The sequence below is a fragment of the Homo sapiens genome, chromosome 17 (genome assembly GCF_000001405.40).
Source record: "Homo sapiens chromosome 17, GRCh38.p14 Primary Assembly".
Taxonomy (NCBI): Eukaryota; Metazoa; Chordata; class Mammalia; order Primates; family Hominidae; genus Homo; species Homo sapiens.
In genome coordinates this window covers 38,458,763-38,471,837 of record NC_000017.11, presented here as the reverse complement: position 1 = coordinate 38,471,837, position 13,075 = coordinate 38,458,763, and the positions used below count along the sequence as shown (strand labels likewise).

Below are 13,075 nucleotides of genomic sequence, written 5' to 3'. Positions count from 1 at the left end.
TTAGGGTGGCTCCCACAATGCCAGCATCTCAGGAACCCCATGGACCACTTGTGGCCGCACAGGCCTGATATATGTCTGTGCTACACCCCGATGTGCTGTGCGACCTCATGGGCATTGCTTGTCCTCTCTGGACCACTTGTGTTGAGGTCATGAGACGTACATAAAGGAGAAGCCAGAAAGGAGGAAAGGCTACGACCTGTCAGCAGACCACACGCCTCACCACACTACAGGAGCCAATTCGGAGCCTCCCATAACTTTATAGACTTAGAAGAATCAAGGAAATGGAGGAAGTGATCGTGTCAACGAGGAGTTAAATAAACAGGGGAAGTGGGAACATCAACAAAGGCTGAGTGAGTGGAGCAGGTAGTCATGTCCACGAGGAGTTAAACAGAGGAAGTGACAGTCTCAACAGGACTCCAGCCAGAGGGCGCAAGTCAAGGGAGAGTTAAGTAAGCAGAAAAAGTGATAAGAAATAAGCTAGGTGCCAATATCACCAGGGTGTTCAACCAACCAATGAGACAGAGCGCTTGACATCAAGATGGCTTTTCCAGTCCATCTATAATCAAAAACAGCCAGGGAAAGGTGGGGCGGGCACGCTGGCTCATGCCTGTAATCCCAGCACTTTGGGAAGCTGAGACAGGTGGATCACTTGAGGTCAGGAGTTCAAGATCAGCCTGGCCAACATGGTGAAACCCCATCTCTACTAAAAACACAAAAATTAGCCAGGTGTGGTGGCGCATGCCTGTAATCCCAGCTACTCAGGAGGCTGAGGCACGAGAATCGGTTGAACCCAGGAGGTGGAGGTTGCAGTGAGCTGAGATCGTGCCACTGCACTCCAGCCTGGGCAATAGAGTGAGACTCCATCTCAAAAAAAAAAAAAGAAAGAAAAATCATGCATGAAAAATATATGTATGATTTTAAAAACAAAAATATGTCCAGGTGCGATGGCTTATGCCTGTAATCCCAGCATTTTGGGAGACCGAAGCAAGAAAATCATTTGAGGCCAGGTGCGGTGGCTCACGCCTGTAATCCCAACACTTTGGGAGGCCGAGGTGGGTGGATCACCTGACGTCAGGAGTTCGAGACCAGTCTGGCCAACATGGTGAAACCCAGTCTCTATTAAAAATACAAAAATTACCCAGGCGTGGTGGCACACGCCTGTAATCCCAGCTGCTCGGGAGGCTGAGGCAGGAGAATAGCTTGAACCCAGGAGGTGGAGGTTGCAGTGAGCCAAGATCATGCCACTGCACTCCAGACTGGGCAATGGAGTGAGACTCTGTCTCAAAACAAACAAACAGCCAGGGCTATCACAGGCCTGATCCTGCCTCCCCAGGTCCTGAGGCTGGGAACTCTACCTGTCCACCAGTCTCAACCCTGTGTCCCGGCCACACCTTTCCAGTGTCCACCCCGACCCCATCCCATGAAGACAAGACGCGATGCAAATACTGACTGAGGGTAGTGAAGGAAACAAATGAAGCCCCAAATATAAGTTCAGGGAGCTTCTATTCTAGCTGGGGAGCCAGGCAGGGAGGAAGGGAAACACCAATTGTGCATGAGGCGTGCTGAGGAGGAAAACATAGAGTAGCGAAGGGAGGCGTGAAATGTCAGGAGCGGAGGCTGGAATTTCAGGGAAGACCTAAAAAGCCGCGAAGACAGGGGAGAAGTGAGTCATGTGGCTATGGGGGATGGGTCTGGAAAGAGGCAGTCCAGACGAGGGCCCATGGGCGGGGCTGCATGGTGTCATTCAGGGATGTCGGGGCCCACAGCAGAGGGCGGGTCCCGCGGTGGACACGAGGGTGAGGGGTGCAGGGAGGAGGAGGAAGGCAGGAGCTGGAGCAGGAACCCCCATGCCGAGGCTGTGGCCCCACCTCCCTGACACCCTCTCTCCCCACACCCTCGCTCCTGCGCACGCACACACACTTGCAGCTCTCACCCCGTCGGTGAAGAAGCTCCGGAGCATCCGCAGGCTGGGTATGCGGTTTGGCAGGCGCCTGGAAAGCGAGGGTCGAGGGTGAGGGATGTGGGCAGCAAAGCTGGGACCTCACTATCTCGTCACCCACCAAACCCCAAGCCCAGAAGCCTTCCAGCGGGGGAGGCACACTGTCCCATGCATAGAGGACCCCCAGGGCCAAGAGCCCTGCCCCAGAGCAGCTGGCCACGGTGGCTGTGGCCACCCCACCCCGTGTCCGGACAGGGCCTCACCGCAGAACCCGGCCCTCGTCGCGGAAGGTGTTGAGTCCATCATCGCAGGACTTGGAGCGCTCCGTGGTGATGGCCAGCAGGTAGGAGGAGCGGCGGCCAGCCTTGATGCTGCCTGCAAAGCCGCCCACATCGGGCCTCAGGGTCAGCGGGGCAGCAGGTCAGGGGCTTCCCAGAGCCCTCCCTTCTGGGCAGGGGCAGGAGGTGACTCTCCCAAGGGGCCGCAGGAGAAGCGGAAACCAGAGGAAGAGGCCAGACATCAAGCAGCAGGCCCAACAGAGACCCCTGGGACTGGGCAGCGAGGGAGAGGGTGGGGCTGGGGGTGTGGGGAGTGCTCACTGCAGTCCTGCGAGTAATGGCGTCCGAGGGTGAAAGTGAAGGTCGGGGAAGATGGGCTGGTGCCCAGGACAGGGGCTGAGTTCATGGCACTGGAGACCACAGCAGAGGCAGGGACGTGCTTGGCTTGGAGGTCAATGCTGGGGCTGGTGGGCTCATCTATGCATGTGGAAGGAGAAAGGTGTGAAGGCAGCAGACAGCGGAGCCTGCCTGCCTCCACCCTAGCCTTGCCAGCCCCCGTGCCACTCGCCTCCAGGCTCAGACACATCCCAAAGGGTCCTGCTGGCAACATGCCCACTGTCAAGCATGACTGGCCCACTGTCCAGACTGTGGCCATGGAATCCTTACCCTCAGGAGTGGGGCTGAGCCACCCTCCTTAGACCGGGCTCCAGAGGACAGAGCCAATATTCCCCCATCAGACTGGGAGCCTGCTGAGGGCAGGGACGGTGTCTCCCTCATCAGACTGAGGGCACTCAGAGAGAATGAATTATGTCTCCCCTCTCAGACCAAGAGCCTCCTGAGGGCAGGGGCAGTGTCTTCCCCATCAGACTGAGAGCTTCCTAAGGGCAAAAGCTCCCCCATCAGCTGGGGCTCCTCAAGGGCAGAGATGACATCTCCCCCTCAAACAGACTGTGCTGTGGAAGAAGAGACTGCCTCTCCCGGCCACAGCCTAGAGCCTTCCTTACTAGCAGAAGGGGCTGTGTCTCTGCTCCACCGAAGGCTGGCTGGGGGAGCCAGGGCTGTGTCTTCCCCCTGCCCCAGGCCTCCTCCCTCTCACTGTCTGGTAGGGTGAGCTCATCTCCCATCTACCACCATCCCTCTCCATTACCCTGCATCTTGCTCTTTCTCCCCAGCCCCGTCTATCCTGCTCCCTCTTGGACACCTCATATTCAACAGTCCTGAACTTTGTCCCCCTCTCACTCCCAACACGGGGGTGAGGCACCACCCCCAAGCCCGGCCAGAAACCTGGGCATCACCCAGCCACTCTACTCTCTTGCCTCTCCCTCTCCTGCATCCAGTCGAAGGCAAGGCAAGCCTTAGAGGGTTCCCTCTGCTCTCAAAAGCCAACCCCAGTGACTAATGAGACCCTTGGGCCTGAAAGGGTCCTCACAACCTGGAAGGGGGTCCTGCCTCTCTCCCTTCAGGGTCTTTGCATATTCTATTCCCTCTCCTTGAATATTCTTCCCCTGATAAACTCCTTCTCATCCTTCAAGTCTTAGCCCAAATGTTCTTTCTCCAAGATTCTCACCATAGCCCTTCTCTGAGCCCGTCTCCTCAAGCTCCCTGTCCCACGACACGCCCATCCCAATGGATTGTCCCTGCATGTCCAACACCCTCTGCTGGGCCATCCAGTCCAGGAGAGCATGGAGCCATGCACAGGGCCTGACACAAATATCTGTTGAGTCGATGGAGGGATGGAGGGTGGATGGAAAGGACAAAGAGGGAAAGATACAAAGGGAAGATGGAAGGAAGAATGGGAGAATGGAAGGAAGAGTCAAAGGAAAGAAAGATGGATGAATGGGTGGAAGAAAGGATGGAACAAATGAATGAACAAAAGAAGGAGGGAGAGAGGAAGGAAAGAAGGAAGAATAGATGGATGGATAGATGGATGAATGGATGGAACAAATGAATGAACAAAGGAGGGAGAGAGGAAGGAAAGAAGGAAGGAAGAACAGATGATGGATGGATGGATGGATGGGGAGAGGGAAAAAAGAAAGAGTGCGTGGAAAGATGCTGAAAGGATAAATGAATGAGAGGTAGGATGGAAGAAAGGATGACAGAGAACAGAAAGAAAGATGGAAGAACAGATGGATGGATGGATGAACAGATGAATGAATTGACAGAGAAACAAGATGATCCCACCAGCACCCAGCCGAATTCTGCCCATGGCAGACAGGCAGATGGGGTACAGCAGGACACAGACAGCCGACAGCTAAGTCCCCCAGGACAGCCACATGTACCATCACTCACCAATAAAGGGGATGGAAGCCAGAGAGTCTTCGGTGGTGGCCAAAGGGGCCACCTTCCTGCCCAGGCGTTCCCCTCGCCCACTGGCCTCTGGCTCTGGGGACTCGTCACCAAATCCAAGGTTCATCTGTCTTGCGGGGGTCAGCTGAACCTTGCGGCCCGTCGGGGGCTTCTGCCTCAGGACCACCTCATCGCCGCGATCCTCCGCAGGAGGCTCCAGGGCCCGGGTGCTGGGTTCCGGCCGTACAACCCTGGGTGGCTCGGAGGCCTCTGGTGGGAATGACGCAGGGGACTGGGCCAGGTTGAAGGTAGGCAGCCCCCCAAAGGGTGAGTCCCGGAAGGAGAGCGCATGGAGGAGGCCGGTCCGGCGCTGGAATGATGGGCTGTAGCTCCGGTAGCCGATGTACCCGAGGTCATCCAGGCCCTGCAGGCCAGACGGGGGTGGGGCCTGGGGCCCTGGCAGGTCCCGAGTTGGGCAGGCGGGGGTGCGGGCAGACGAACGCTGGGAAGCCCAGCCACACCGCTCAAAGCGGGGTGACACCAGTGCCCCTGGCCCCAGTGCCTCGGCAGAACGGGTGGCCCGGCTCAAGTAGTCATCTGAGCGAGCTCGGTGCCAGCCCTCCTGGCCCAGCTGGCTCAAAGCATCCTGGGAGGTGGAGCAGGGCCACGGGCGGGGGGCAGCCACCTCCTCCAACCGGTCCTGGGAGGCGCTGCGGGCCCGGGGGGCCATGGCTGGGCACCGTCTCTCCCCCGCCCGGCGGGGTACCTGGTTTGACAGCCAGTGTGACAAGGCCTGCTGGCACTCCAGTCTGCTGGGGGGCACCCGGCTGCCAGGCTCTGGGAAGGCACGGGGCGTCCGGGGCTCCGAGGAGAGGTGGGGGAAGGCACCAGGGCTGGGGCGGGGCTGGCTCATCCCCAAGGAAGAGTTGTCCAGGTGGGCACGGGCAGCAGGTGGCACACGGAGCCCCGGGTCACTCCAGGCAGCAGGACTCCGGGGGTCACTGGGCAGTGCTGAGGTGGGCTCAGGCACCATAGTGGCCCTGGTGGAGGCCCGGGCAGGAGGGGCGTAGGTCTTGCGGGGGTAGCAGATCGGGGGTGGCTCTGGGATGCTGCGGGCCTCTCCAGAATACGGCTCGTTCCCTTTCAGGTAGGCATCCTGGGAGTAGGCCTGGCCAGAGACACAGAGACAGGTAAGCAGGGCCAGACAAGTCCCACAGGGTAGGGGAACGGCAGCCCGAGGAGGTCAAGGAGCCCAGGAGGGAAATGAAGGGAGAGGACCAAGCGGTGGGGGGAACGAGGGAGAGGCATAAGTGGGTGGGGGTGGAAGGGCAGGTCCAGGGAGAGAACAAAGAAGAAGCAAGAAGCCTTTGAGACGCAGGCAAACTCCAGCAAAAGTGGGATTTCGCTAAGACTGTGACAAGGACTGCCCTAGCCACAAACATTCCAGCATCTGTTTCCTGGGGTCCTCCCCCAGTCCTGGCCTCCACCGCCTGCCTGCCCCCTTATGTCCACCAATGCCCAAAGCTCCTCGGGTGGAGCCGGAAAACCCCACCGAGACCAGTCAAGGTGGCAGATGAGAGAAGAAAGCCGGCTAGGGGTGTGTCTGGGTGGGGCAGAGGCTGGCAGAGCCCAGCTGTCCCTCCATCCCCGGGAATGGGGAGCTGGCTCCTGAGCCACAGGGGTGAGAAGGAGTTTGCCCACCTCCTGCCAGGCTTGAAGGAGGGGACTTGAGCCACCTTCTGCCACCCCTGGGCCTGGAATTTGGCACTGGGAGCTGAGGCTGACGCTGCATTGCTAAGGAGTGACAGGGCCAGCGCCCAGGCCCAGCCAAAAAAGGAGTCAGCTCCCAGGGACAGCGGCCTTGTGGCCTGGGCCCAGCCTGGCCCCTGCTGAGCTGCCCAGGAGCCTAACTCAAGGCAAAGAACCAAAGGGTGGGAGGGTGAAACCAAACACACACACACACCACACTACAAGGAGACACTGGAAGATACACACCCAGAGACACACACACACACAGTAGAACACAATGAAACACACACAAATAACTACACCTCCAGTCCCAGGCACAAACATCATGTGATGAGGACAAGCTAAACCACACCCCCGCACACTCAGCCCCCTCCAGCTGGCACAGGGCCGGCACACACATACCTCTCCCTCCTGCCATCCCGCCGTCTCCCCAGGCTCCCGGCATCATCACGGCGGCGGCAGCATCCCAGCCCGCCTCCGCCCACCCCCAGCTCCGGCTAACCCCGCCACTGACCACTGTGTTGCCCTGGCCAGGGCCTCCGGTCCCCCTCCGTCTGCCCTCCCTGCGGCTCCCCCTCACCCCCACCCGACTCTCTCTCGGCTGGCTGGCGGGAGGAGGAGGGAGGAGAGGATGGGTGTGGAGGGGCCTCGCCGCGTCGGTGGTGGCGTCAGCAGCTGCCGAGGCCCGATTGGCCTCCAGCCTTGGCTTCCAACCACAGGAATGCCTGGGCCCCACCCTCCGGCTGGCAGAGATGCGGGGGCCAGTGGAGGCCCCCAGATGCTGTCATCTGGCGCTGCCAGCCCACCCCAGCCTGGGCAGCAGAACTTGAGGCTACTGCCCTTCCCACTCCTTGCCCCTGCCAACTGGAGAGAGTGGGGGACACCCTAGGGTCCCACCCTGTCACTGCCCCATAGCTGGCCTCGCCTCAGCCTGGGGGAGCTGTACAGGCAGGGCCTTGAGACTTGGGGTAAGCAGTCCACCTCAGATCCCCCCCTCCTTCCTCCCTCTCCCCAGGAAGAGCAAGGGGACAATCGAGGTCAGGGGTGGAGGTTTCCAGAAGGGCATCATGCCAGGCATGGCACTGTGATTACAGTGATTAGGAGAGTGCGTCCAAGGCAGAAGCCAGCACAGCGGCTCCCAGGGCCTCCCCAGGGACAGTGACCTCAGGGGCAAGTAAGCCGCCATCTGGCTGGGACCCATGAGACCAGGGAGGTGGGCACTGGGCAAAGCGGACCGCCGGGGCTCCAGGCACAAAGAGGCAGTGTGTGAGTGTGAGTGTGTGTGTGTGTGTGTGGAAGGGTATGCTTGGGAGTGCAGGGCCTGCTTCGTGCAGTGTCTGGGCCACGCTCTCTGTGTGGCAGGCTGGATGCTGTCTTCTAGGTATGCTGAGGTGTCGAATGTATAAATTTGGAGTCCTGTGACACGGGTGGGCGCACGTGCTGAGATGGGCAGGAGGATGCCGCGGTGTTTGCGAGCATACATGTTGTGATAGTGCGGCGTGGGTGTGTAGTTGTGGAGGTCCGAGTGTGCAAGGTACTATGCTGTTTGTACTGCAGGGAGCCAAGGGGCTGGTGAGTGTGTCGTGTTTTAATGTTTGTGGGTGTGTGTTGTGGTGCACTTCGCTGTATGAGGGTGAACTGTGGCAGTGGGTGCTTGTGTGGTTGTCTGTATTGCGGCACGTGCCTGGTGCTGCATGTGTGTTGTGGTGTGCTTCGTGCTATACAGAGGGTGGGACTGTGGGGCTGTGCTGTGTGGCTGTGTACTGCTCGGGTACTGTGTGGTGCACATGACGGTGGGTGGGGTGCAGTGTGCTGAGCAGTGTTCGATGTGTGCTCGGTGCCTGTGTGGACACACCCACCAGAGACACCCTCACTCAGGGCCAGACAGGGAGGGGGTGCAGGGAAGAGGCATCTCTCCTAGGAGCTGACAAGAACGTGCCAGGCTGGCAGAGCCTGCTGGGCCACCCTCCTTCCAGATACCCTGGCAGGAATCCTGCCTGCCAAGGCCAGGTCTCCCGCTCCCCCAGCACAGAGCAGCTCCGAATGAAGCAACAACCAGCCCCAGCCCAGGGAGGGGCCTGGCATCCCCAACTGGGCAATGTCGGCCTGTGCCCTCCAAACACTTCCTTCTCTGCCTCCCAGGGGAGCCGGTGCTGCCCCAGGGCTCAGGGGTCTCCTCTCAGGCCACAGGGGCTGGACTCACCAGCTGGAGGATGTCCTCGTCCTTGGGCATGATAGACAGCTCCAGAGTGTCATCACTACAGAGACAGGCAGAACGTCAGGCTGGGTCAAGGAACAGGGTCCAGGAGGAAGGGATCCTGGTCTCCAGGGCATCCCCAGGGCAAAGGGGAGGGGAGATAATATGGGACGAGGGGTCAGGGACACTCACCTATTCTGGATCAGAGCTATGACCTGAGAGTAGGTCTTCCCAATGACGCTTTCCCCATTCACCTTTACCAGCCGGTCTCCTGGGGACAAGGAGCGCATGAGTGGTGACCAAAGGGCATCAAAGGCCCCATCTGAGAACCCCTGTACCAGGCATGGCTAACACTGTGGGGACAGGAGCCTCCCCAACACCTGGATCTGAGAATAAAATCCTAGCCAGAAGGTAGAAAGTAGAGCCCAGGTAACTGGGCCAGCTCACCTGTGCGAAGCCCCGCCCTATGGGCAGGGCCGTCTTCCTTCACATTCTTGACAAAGATGGTGTCCATGGGCTCCAGGCGGTACCGGGGGGAGGGTCCTAGTGGGCATCAGCCAGGTTAGCTGGGGGTGGCTGGGGAAGGTCACACCCATGCACAGCTACACACACAGGGGACACACACTCAGAGAATGATTGCACTCGTCCGGTCACAAACATGCACAGGCTCAAACATCCACGAGGACACTGGACAGGTCCATGGAGGCACAGAACCCAACAGGAGGACACAGACCTGGGAGAAAGAAAACCTATGGGGACATACAAAGAGTCACTCCGTAAACACCTCCTGTGTCCTCTTCATGTGCTAAAAACTACACTAAAAAGGATGAACAGGCCAGGCATGGTAGCTCACGCCTGTAATCCCAGTACTTTGGGAGGCCAAGGCGGGTGGATCACTTGAGGTCAGGAGTTCGAGACCAGCCTGGCCAATATGGTGAATCTCTGTCTCTACTAAAAATACAAAAATTAGCTGTGTGTGGTGGCACGCATGCCTGTAATCCCAGCTACTCAGGAGGCTGAGGCAGGAGAAACACTTGAACCTGGGAGGCAGAGGTTGTGGTAAGCCGGGATTGTGCCACTGCACTCCAGCCTGGGTGACAAAGTAAGACACTGTCTCAAAAAAAAAAAAAAAAAAAAAAAAGGCCGGGTGCGGTGGTTCACGCCTGTAATCCCAGCACTTTGGGAGGCCGAGACAGATCATGAGGTCAGGAGTTCAAGACCAGCCTGGCCAACATGGTGAAACCCTGTCTCTACTAAAAAATAAAAAAATTAGCCGGGCGCGGTGGCGGGCACCTGTAATCCCAGCTACTCAGGAGGCTGAGGCAGAAGAATTGCTTGAACCCGGGAGGTGGAGGTTGCAGTGAGCCCGGATAGCACCACTGCACTCCAGCCTGGGTGACAGAGCAAGACTCCATCTCAAAAGAAAAAAAAAGGATGAACAAGCACAGCCCTTGTCCTTCCAGAGCTCCCTGTCCAGTGGGGGAGGCAGATTCTCACACACACATGTGCAGCACACACAAGTCACGAGACAGAGGAAAGGGCGCCATACAAGAGGCCATAACAGTTCTGAAGACATGTGGCAGAGTCAGACGCCCTCCTCACAGGGATGCCCACTCCCGCAGACCCAGCAAGACACCTAATACTCACATCCCCCACCTCCTCCCTTCCCCAGGCTCAAGGGACTCCAAGCAGAGGTCCGAGGCCCCTAGGGTGGGCACAAATCGCATTGCACCCCAACAAAGTTTCTCTGCTCCTAAGTGCTGCTAACTCTAAGCTAACAGAGAAATGGGCCGCTCTAGGTCAGCGGGCTCCTCCCTCATCACGGCCTCTGGATGGGGATGCAGGAGTGTCCTATGGCTGCCCAGCGAAAGCCCCAGTGGCAGAGCAGGAAGGCTGCCAGAGAAGGCACTCTGCCTTGAATAACCTGGGGGCCTGGGTGTCCACCAGGGGCCTCTGGGGAGCAAGAGCCACAGCAAGGGGAGTCAGGCTCACATCATATGAGAGAAAGACCTTGGGGGATCCCTGACTTCCACCAGGACTCCACTGTCTCCGCCTCCAAGGACAGCCTTTGCTCAGCGCTCCCACCACCAGCCCCCAGGCCCTGCAGCCCTGCCCTGCCTTGTTCTAGGCTGGGAGCAGCTTGAGGGCAGGGGCCAGGTGGCAGACACCCATCTGCGCCCCAGAGTGCCGCCCACAGTGTGCCGAGCTCAGCAAACTTCTGTGGAGGAAATGCCCAAGGGAGACAAATGTGCGAAAAGAAAGGGGGAGGACAGAGAGAGTGAGGAGGAGGTGCCCAGAGGGGGCCAGACCAGGGGCACAGACAGGAGCAAAGGCAGGAACAGGAGTCAAGGGAGGGGGGCACAGAAAAGGACAGGCAGTCTTAGGGGAGGACAGGGAGAGACAGGAGCTGGAAGAGGAGTCCCGTGCAGGTCCAGCGCCCGCCAGTCCTCCCTTACCTCCTCCACGGCCTCCATTCTCTTCCTCCTGCAGGGAACAGAGGAGTGGGTGTGGGCGTCAGTCCAGCCCTCAGCAGCCAGGGGTGGCCCAGCTCCAGTGGGCAGGGCCCCTTCAGGTTCCCGCCACCCCTTATCTCCTCCCAAGTAGCCCAGCAGGGGAGGGTGCGGGAGGGGTGTCCGAGGGGCACCAAGTCCGAGGCCAAGTTCCCCAGTGACATGTGCTCCCATCGCCTCAACACCCTAACCATCAGGGAACCCGCAATCCAACAAGTGACCCAAGACCCCTTCCCTGGGGGAGCTCCCAGCCCAACGAGGGAGGCATCACACAGGCTCACACACACAGAAGACGCGGGCAGTCACAGATAGGCACGTGACAAGCGCAAACTACAGCTATCAGCTCCAGGGAATACCAAGGGGAGGACTGATTAGAGTCCTCCTGGGGAGGGGACTCAAAAGACATCTGAGGGTGGCGGGTAGAAGGCACTGTGGACAAGGGAGGCGGGGTGTGCAGACGCTGGCTGGCAGGGATAAGCGCTCACAGCACACCAGGGGCTGAATCGCTGAGTTAAAGGAGAAAGTCAACAACAGCAAGTGACAATACTCAGGCTAAAGCACTCAGGCTTACAGGACAGAAAGAGGGAGCCAATGGAAGTTCTTCTGTGAGAGAGAGTGGAGGTGAAAATGAGAGTTAGGGGAGAGGATTCTGGCACCTGGGTGCAGGGTGTCAAGGGGACCCACTGGGAGGCCTCTGGGATCACCTGGTAGGTGATGGCACTAGACTTTGTGGGGGAATGAGGAAGGAGGGCATGGAGGTCAGAGGAACAGGCTAAGTCAGCTGGATGTGGCATTTTAGAGCTGGATCAGACCTTCAGCGTCATCTCTTCTAACCCTCTCCACACATGTACCCATTGTATAGCTCGCAGGGTATGGTGTGTTCAAGGCCACTCAGAGACTCAGTGGCAGAGCCAGGGCTGGAACCCAGGCCTCTGTGGCACCCCAATGAGGACAGGGTGGGTCACAGGAAAGCTGCTGGGCCCTTCTGGGGAGCAAGCACTCTGCCCCCGTCCTCCTGTGTGGGGTGCACTCCGGCTGATGCAAGCTGACAGCACTGCGAGAGAGTGGCAGAGGCAGACAGATGCATTTGGACGGCTGAGCTCCCTGCAGGCTGCCAGGTGGCAGCATGAAGGACGGGAGAACACAGCCTCCTCCTGCCTCCAGGCCAAAGGCCCCTCCCAGCCCTGGGCAGGTTCTGGAAAGGAGAGGCAGCCTGTCCCTGGCTTGCCTGGCCCTAGGTCTTCCAGCCCTAGACTCTATGCTGTCACGCTTCAGCAGGGTCTCCTGAGAGAAGATGCTGGGGGCAGCAGGAGGGGCATTCTGGGGAAAGAGTGAAGGAAGTACTGGGGGTTCCGGAGAACTAAGGGGCTGGTGTCCTTGGGCATGAAGTAGGGGTCTGTGCCCCCTCCACACTCCATCAGCCCCCACTTATGTTCTTCAGCACAGCTGTAGCCAATGAGAACAGTTATGCAGGAGCCCCAGAGCTTCCGGCATGCATGTGAGAGCTGCACAGTTACATGTACACATGACATGTATTTGCAGACACTATATGCACACAGAGAGATACACACATGCATGTCCATGGCCAGCACGCGATGCACACAGAGAGACATGTGAGCACACGAACACAGACAGTGAAGTCCCCTGTTTGGTTCTCTGATAGGTGGGACCAAGGGGGAGTCCCCCAATAGCTGTACAGGCAGATCCCGGTCCTAGGGAAAGTGGATAGAGGGGTTCATTCACTGCAAAATCAGTGTCTCCTCCCTGCTGGAAAAGAAGTGGTGATGGGAGCAGAGCCCTAGTCGGGGGCTTTGGTTGCTCCCTGGGGCCCCTTCTGTCTTCTTCCCACACTTCTGCTTCGCTGTCAGGGACCCCTCCCCCTAGCTCACAGCCTTGGATTGGGGTCAGGACCCCTGGTTCCTGGACTCAGAGAACACAACGTTTACATTAGGGCAGGAGGGACTCTGAGGGGTCAAGTTGATAAATGTCCTCAGGTTCCAGCAGGAGAAATGGAGCCCAGAGATGGGGAGGCAGCCCCAAATTCACAATGAGTGAGGAGTTGTCCCAGGACCGGAACTCTGGGCTCCTGTGTCCCAGCCTGGGTCTGTTTCCAGCG

At 58.8% G+C, this 13,075-nt stretch overlaps 1 protein-coding gene across 11 annotated transcripts in view, besides 4 other annotated features; it reads right to left on the bottom strand.

Annotated features, from left to right (window-relative positions):
• ARHGAP23 (Rho GTPase activating protein 23) overlaps positions 1–13,075 on the bottom strand; it is a 93,111-nt gene that overhangs the window by 40,548 nt on the left and 39,488 nt on the right. For 10 of the 11 annotated variants that reach the window (XR_429909.4, XM_006721991.2, NM_001199417.2 and 7 more), the window contains exons 3-10: positions 10,906–10,933; positions 8,897–8,992; positions 8,642–8,720; positions 8,456–8,510; positions 4,507–5,671; positions 2,539–2,694; positions 2,203–2,314; positions 1,934–1,991 (exon numbers count right to left, since the gene is read on the bottom strand). Coding sequence is in view for 10 of the 11 variants with exons in the window: in XM_006721991.2 (XP_006722054.1) it covers positions 1,934–1,991; positions 2,203–2,314; positions 2,539–2,694; positions 4,507–5,671; positions 8,456–8,510; positions 8,642–8,720; positions 8,897–8,992; positions 10,906–10,933 (1,749 nt within the window). In the remaining variant the exon portion in view is untranslated. Of the gene's footprint in view, positions 1–1,933; positions 1,992–2,202; positions 2,315–2,538; positions 2,695–4,506; positions 5,672–6,654; positions 6,871–8,455; positions 8,511–8,641; positions 8,721–8,896; positions 8,993–10,905; positions 10,934–13,075 lie in introns of those variants that run through there. The other variant, XM_011525075.3, reaches the window with a different exon arrangement.
• Positions 1,927–2,563: an enhancer, noted in NCBI's record as "H3K4me1 hESC enhancer chr17:36625516-36626152 (GRCh37/hg19 assembly coordinates)". NCBI's record gives its function as "activates a minimal SCP1, AML or CMV promoter by ChIP-STARR-seq in primed H9 embryonic stem cells {active_cell/tissue: H9 hESC(primed)}" and the evidence as "EXISTENCE:reporter gene assay evidence [ECO:0000049][PMID:30033119]".
• Positions 6,215–7,006: an enhancer, noted in NCBI's record as "H3K27ac-H3K4me1 hESC enhancer chr17:36621073-36621864 (GRCh37/hg19 assembly coordinates)". NCBI's record gives its function as "activates a minimal SCP1, AML or CMV promoter by ChIP-STARR-seq in naive H9 embryonic stem cells {active_cell/tissue: H9 hESC(naive)}" and the evidence as "EXISTENCE:reporter gene assay evidence [ECO:0000049][PMID:30033119]".
• Positions 8,016–8,310: a silencer, noted in NCBI's record as "tiled region #7659; HepG2 Repressive non-DNase unmatched - State 20:ReprD". NCBI's record gives its function as "represses a minimal TATA promoter and a strong SV40 promoter by Sharpr-MPRA in HepG2 cells {active_cell/tissue: HepG2}" and the evidence as "EXISTENCE:reporter gene assay evidence [ECO:0000049][PMID:27701403]".
• Positions 10,864–11,492: an enhancer, noted in NCBI's record as "H3K4me1 hESC enhancer chr17:36616590-36617218 (GRCh37/hg19 assembly coordinates)". NCBI's record gives its function as "activates a minimal SCP1, AML or CMV promoter by ChIP-STARR-seq in primed H9 embryonic stem cells {active_cell/tissue: H9 hESC(primed)}" and the evidence as "EXISTENCE:reporter gene assay evidence [ECO:0000049][PMID:30033119]".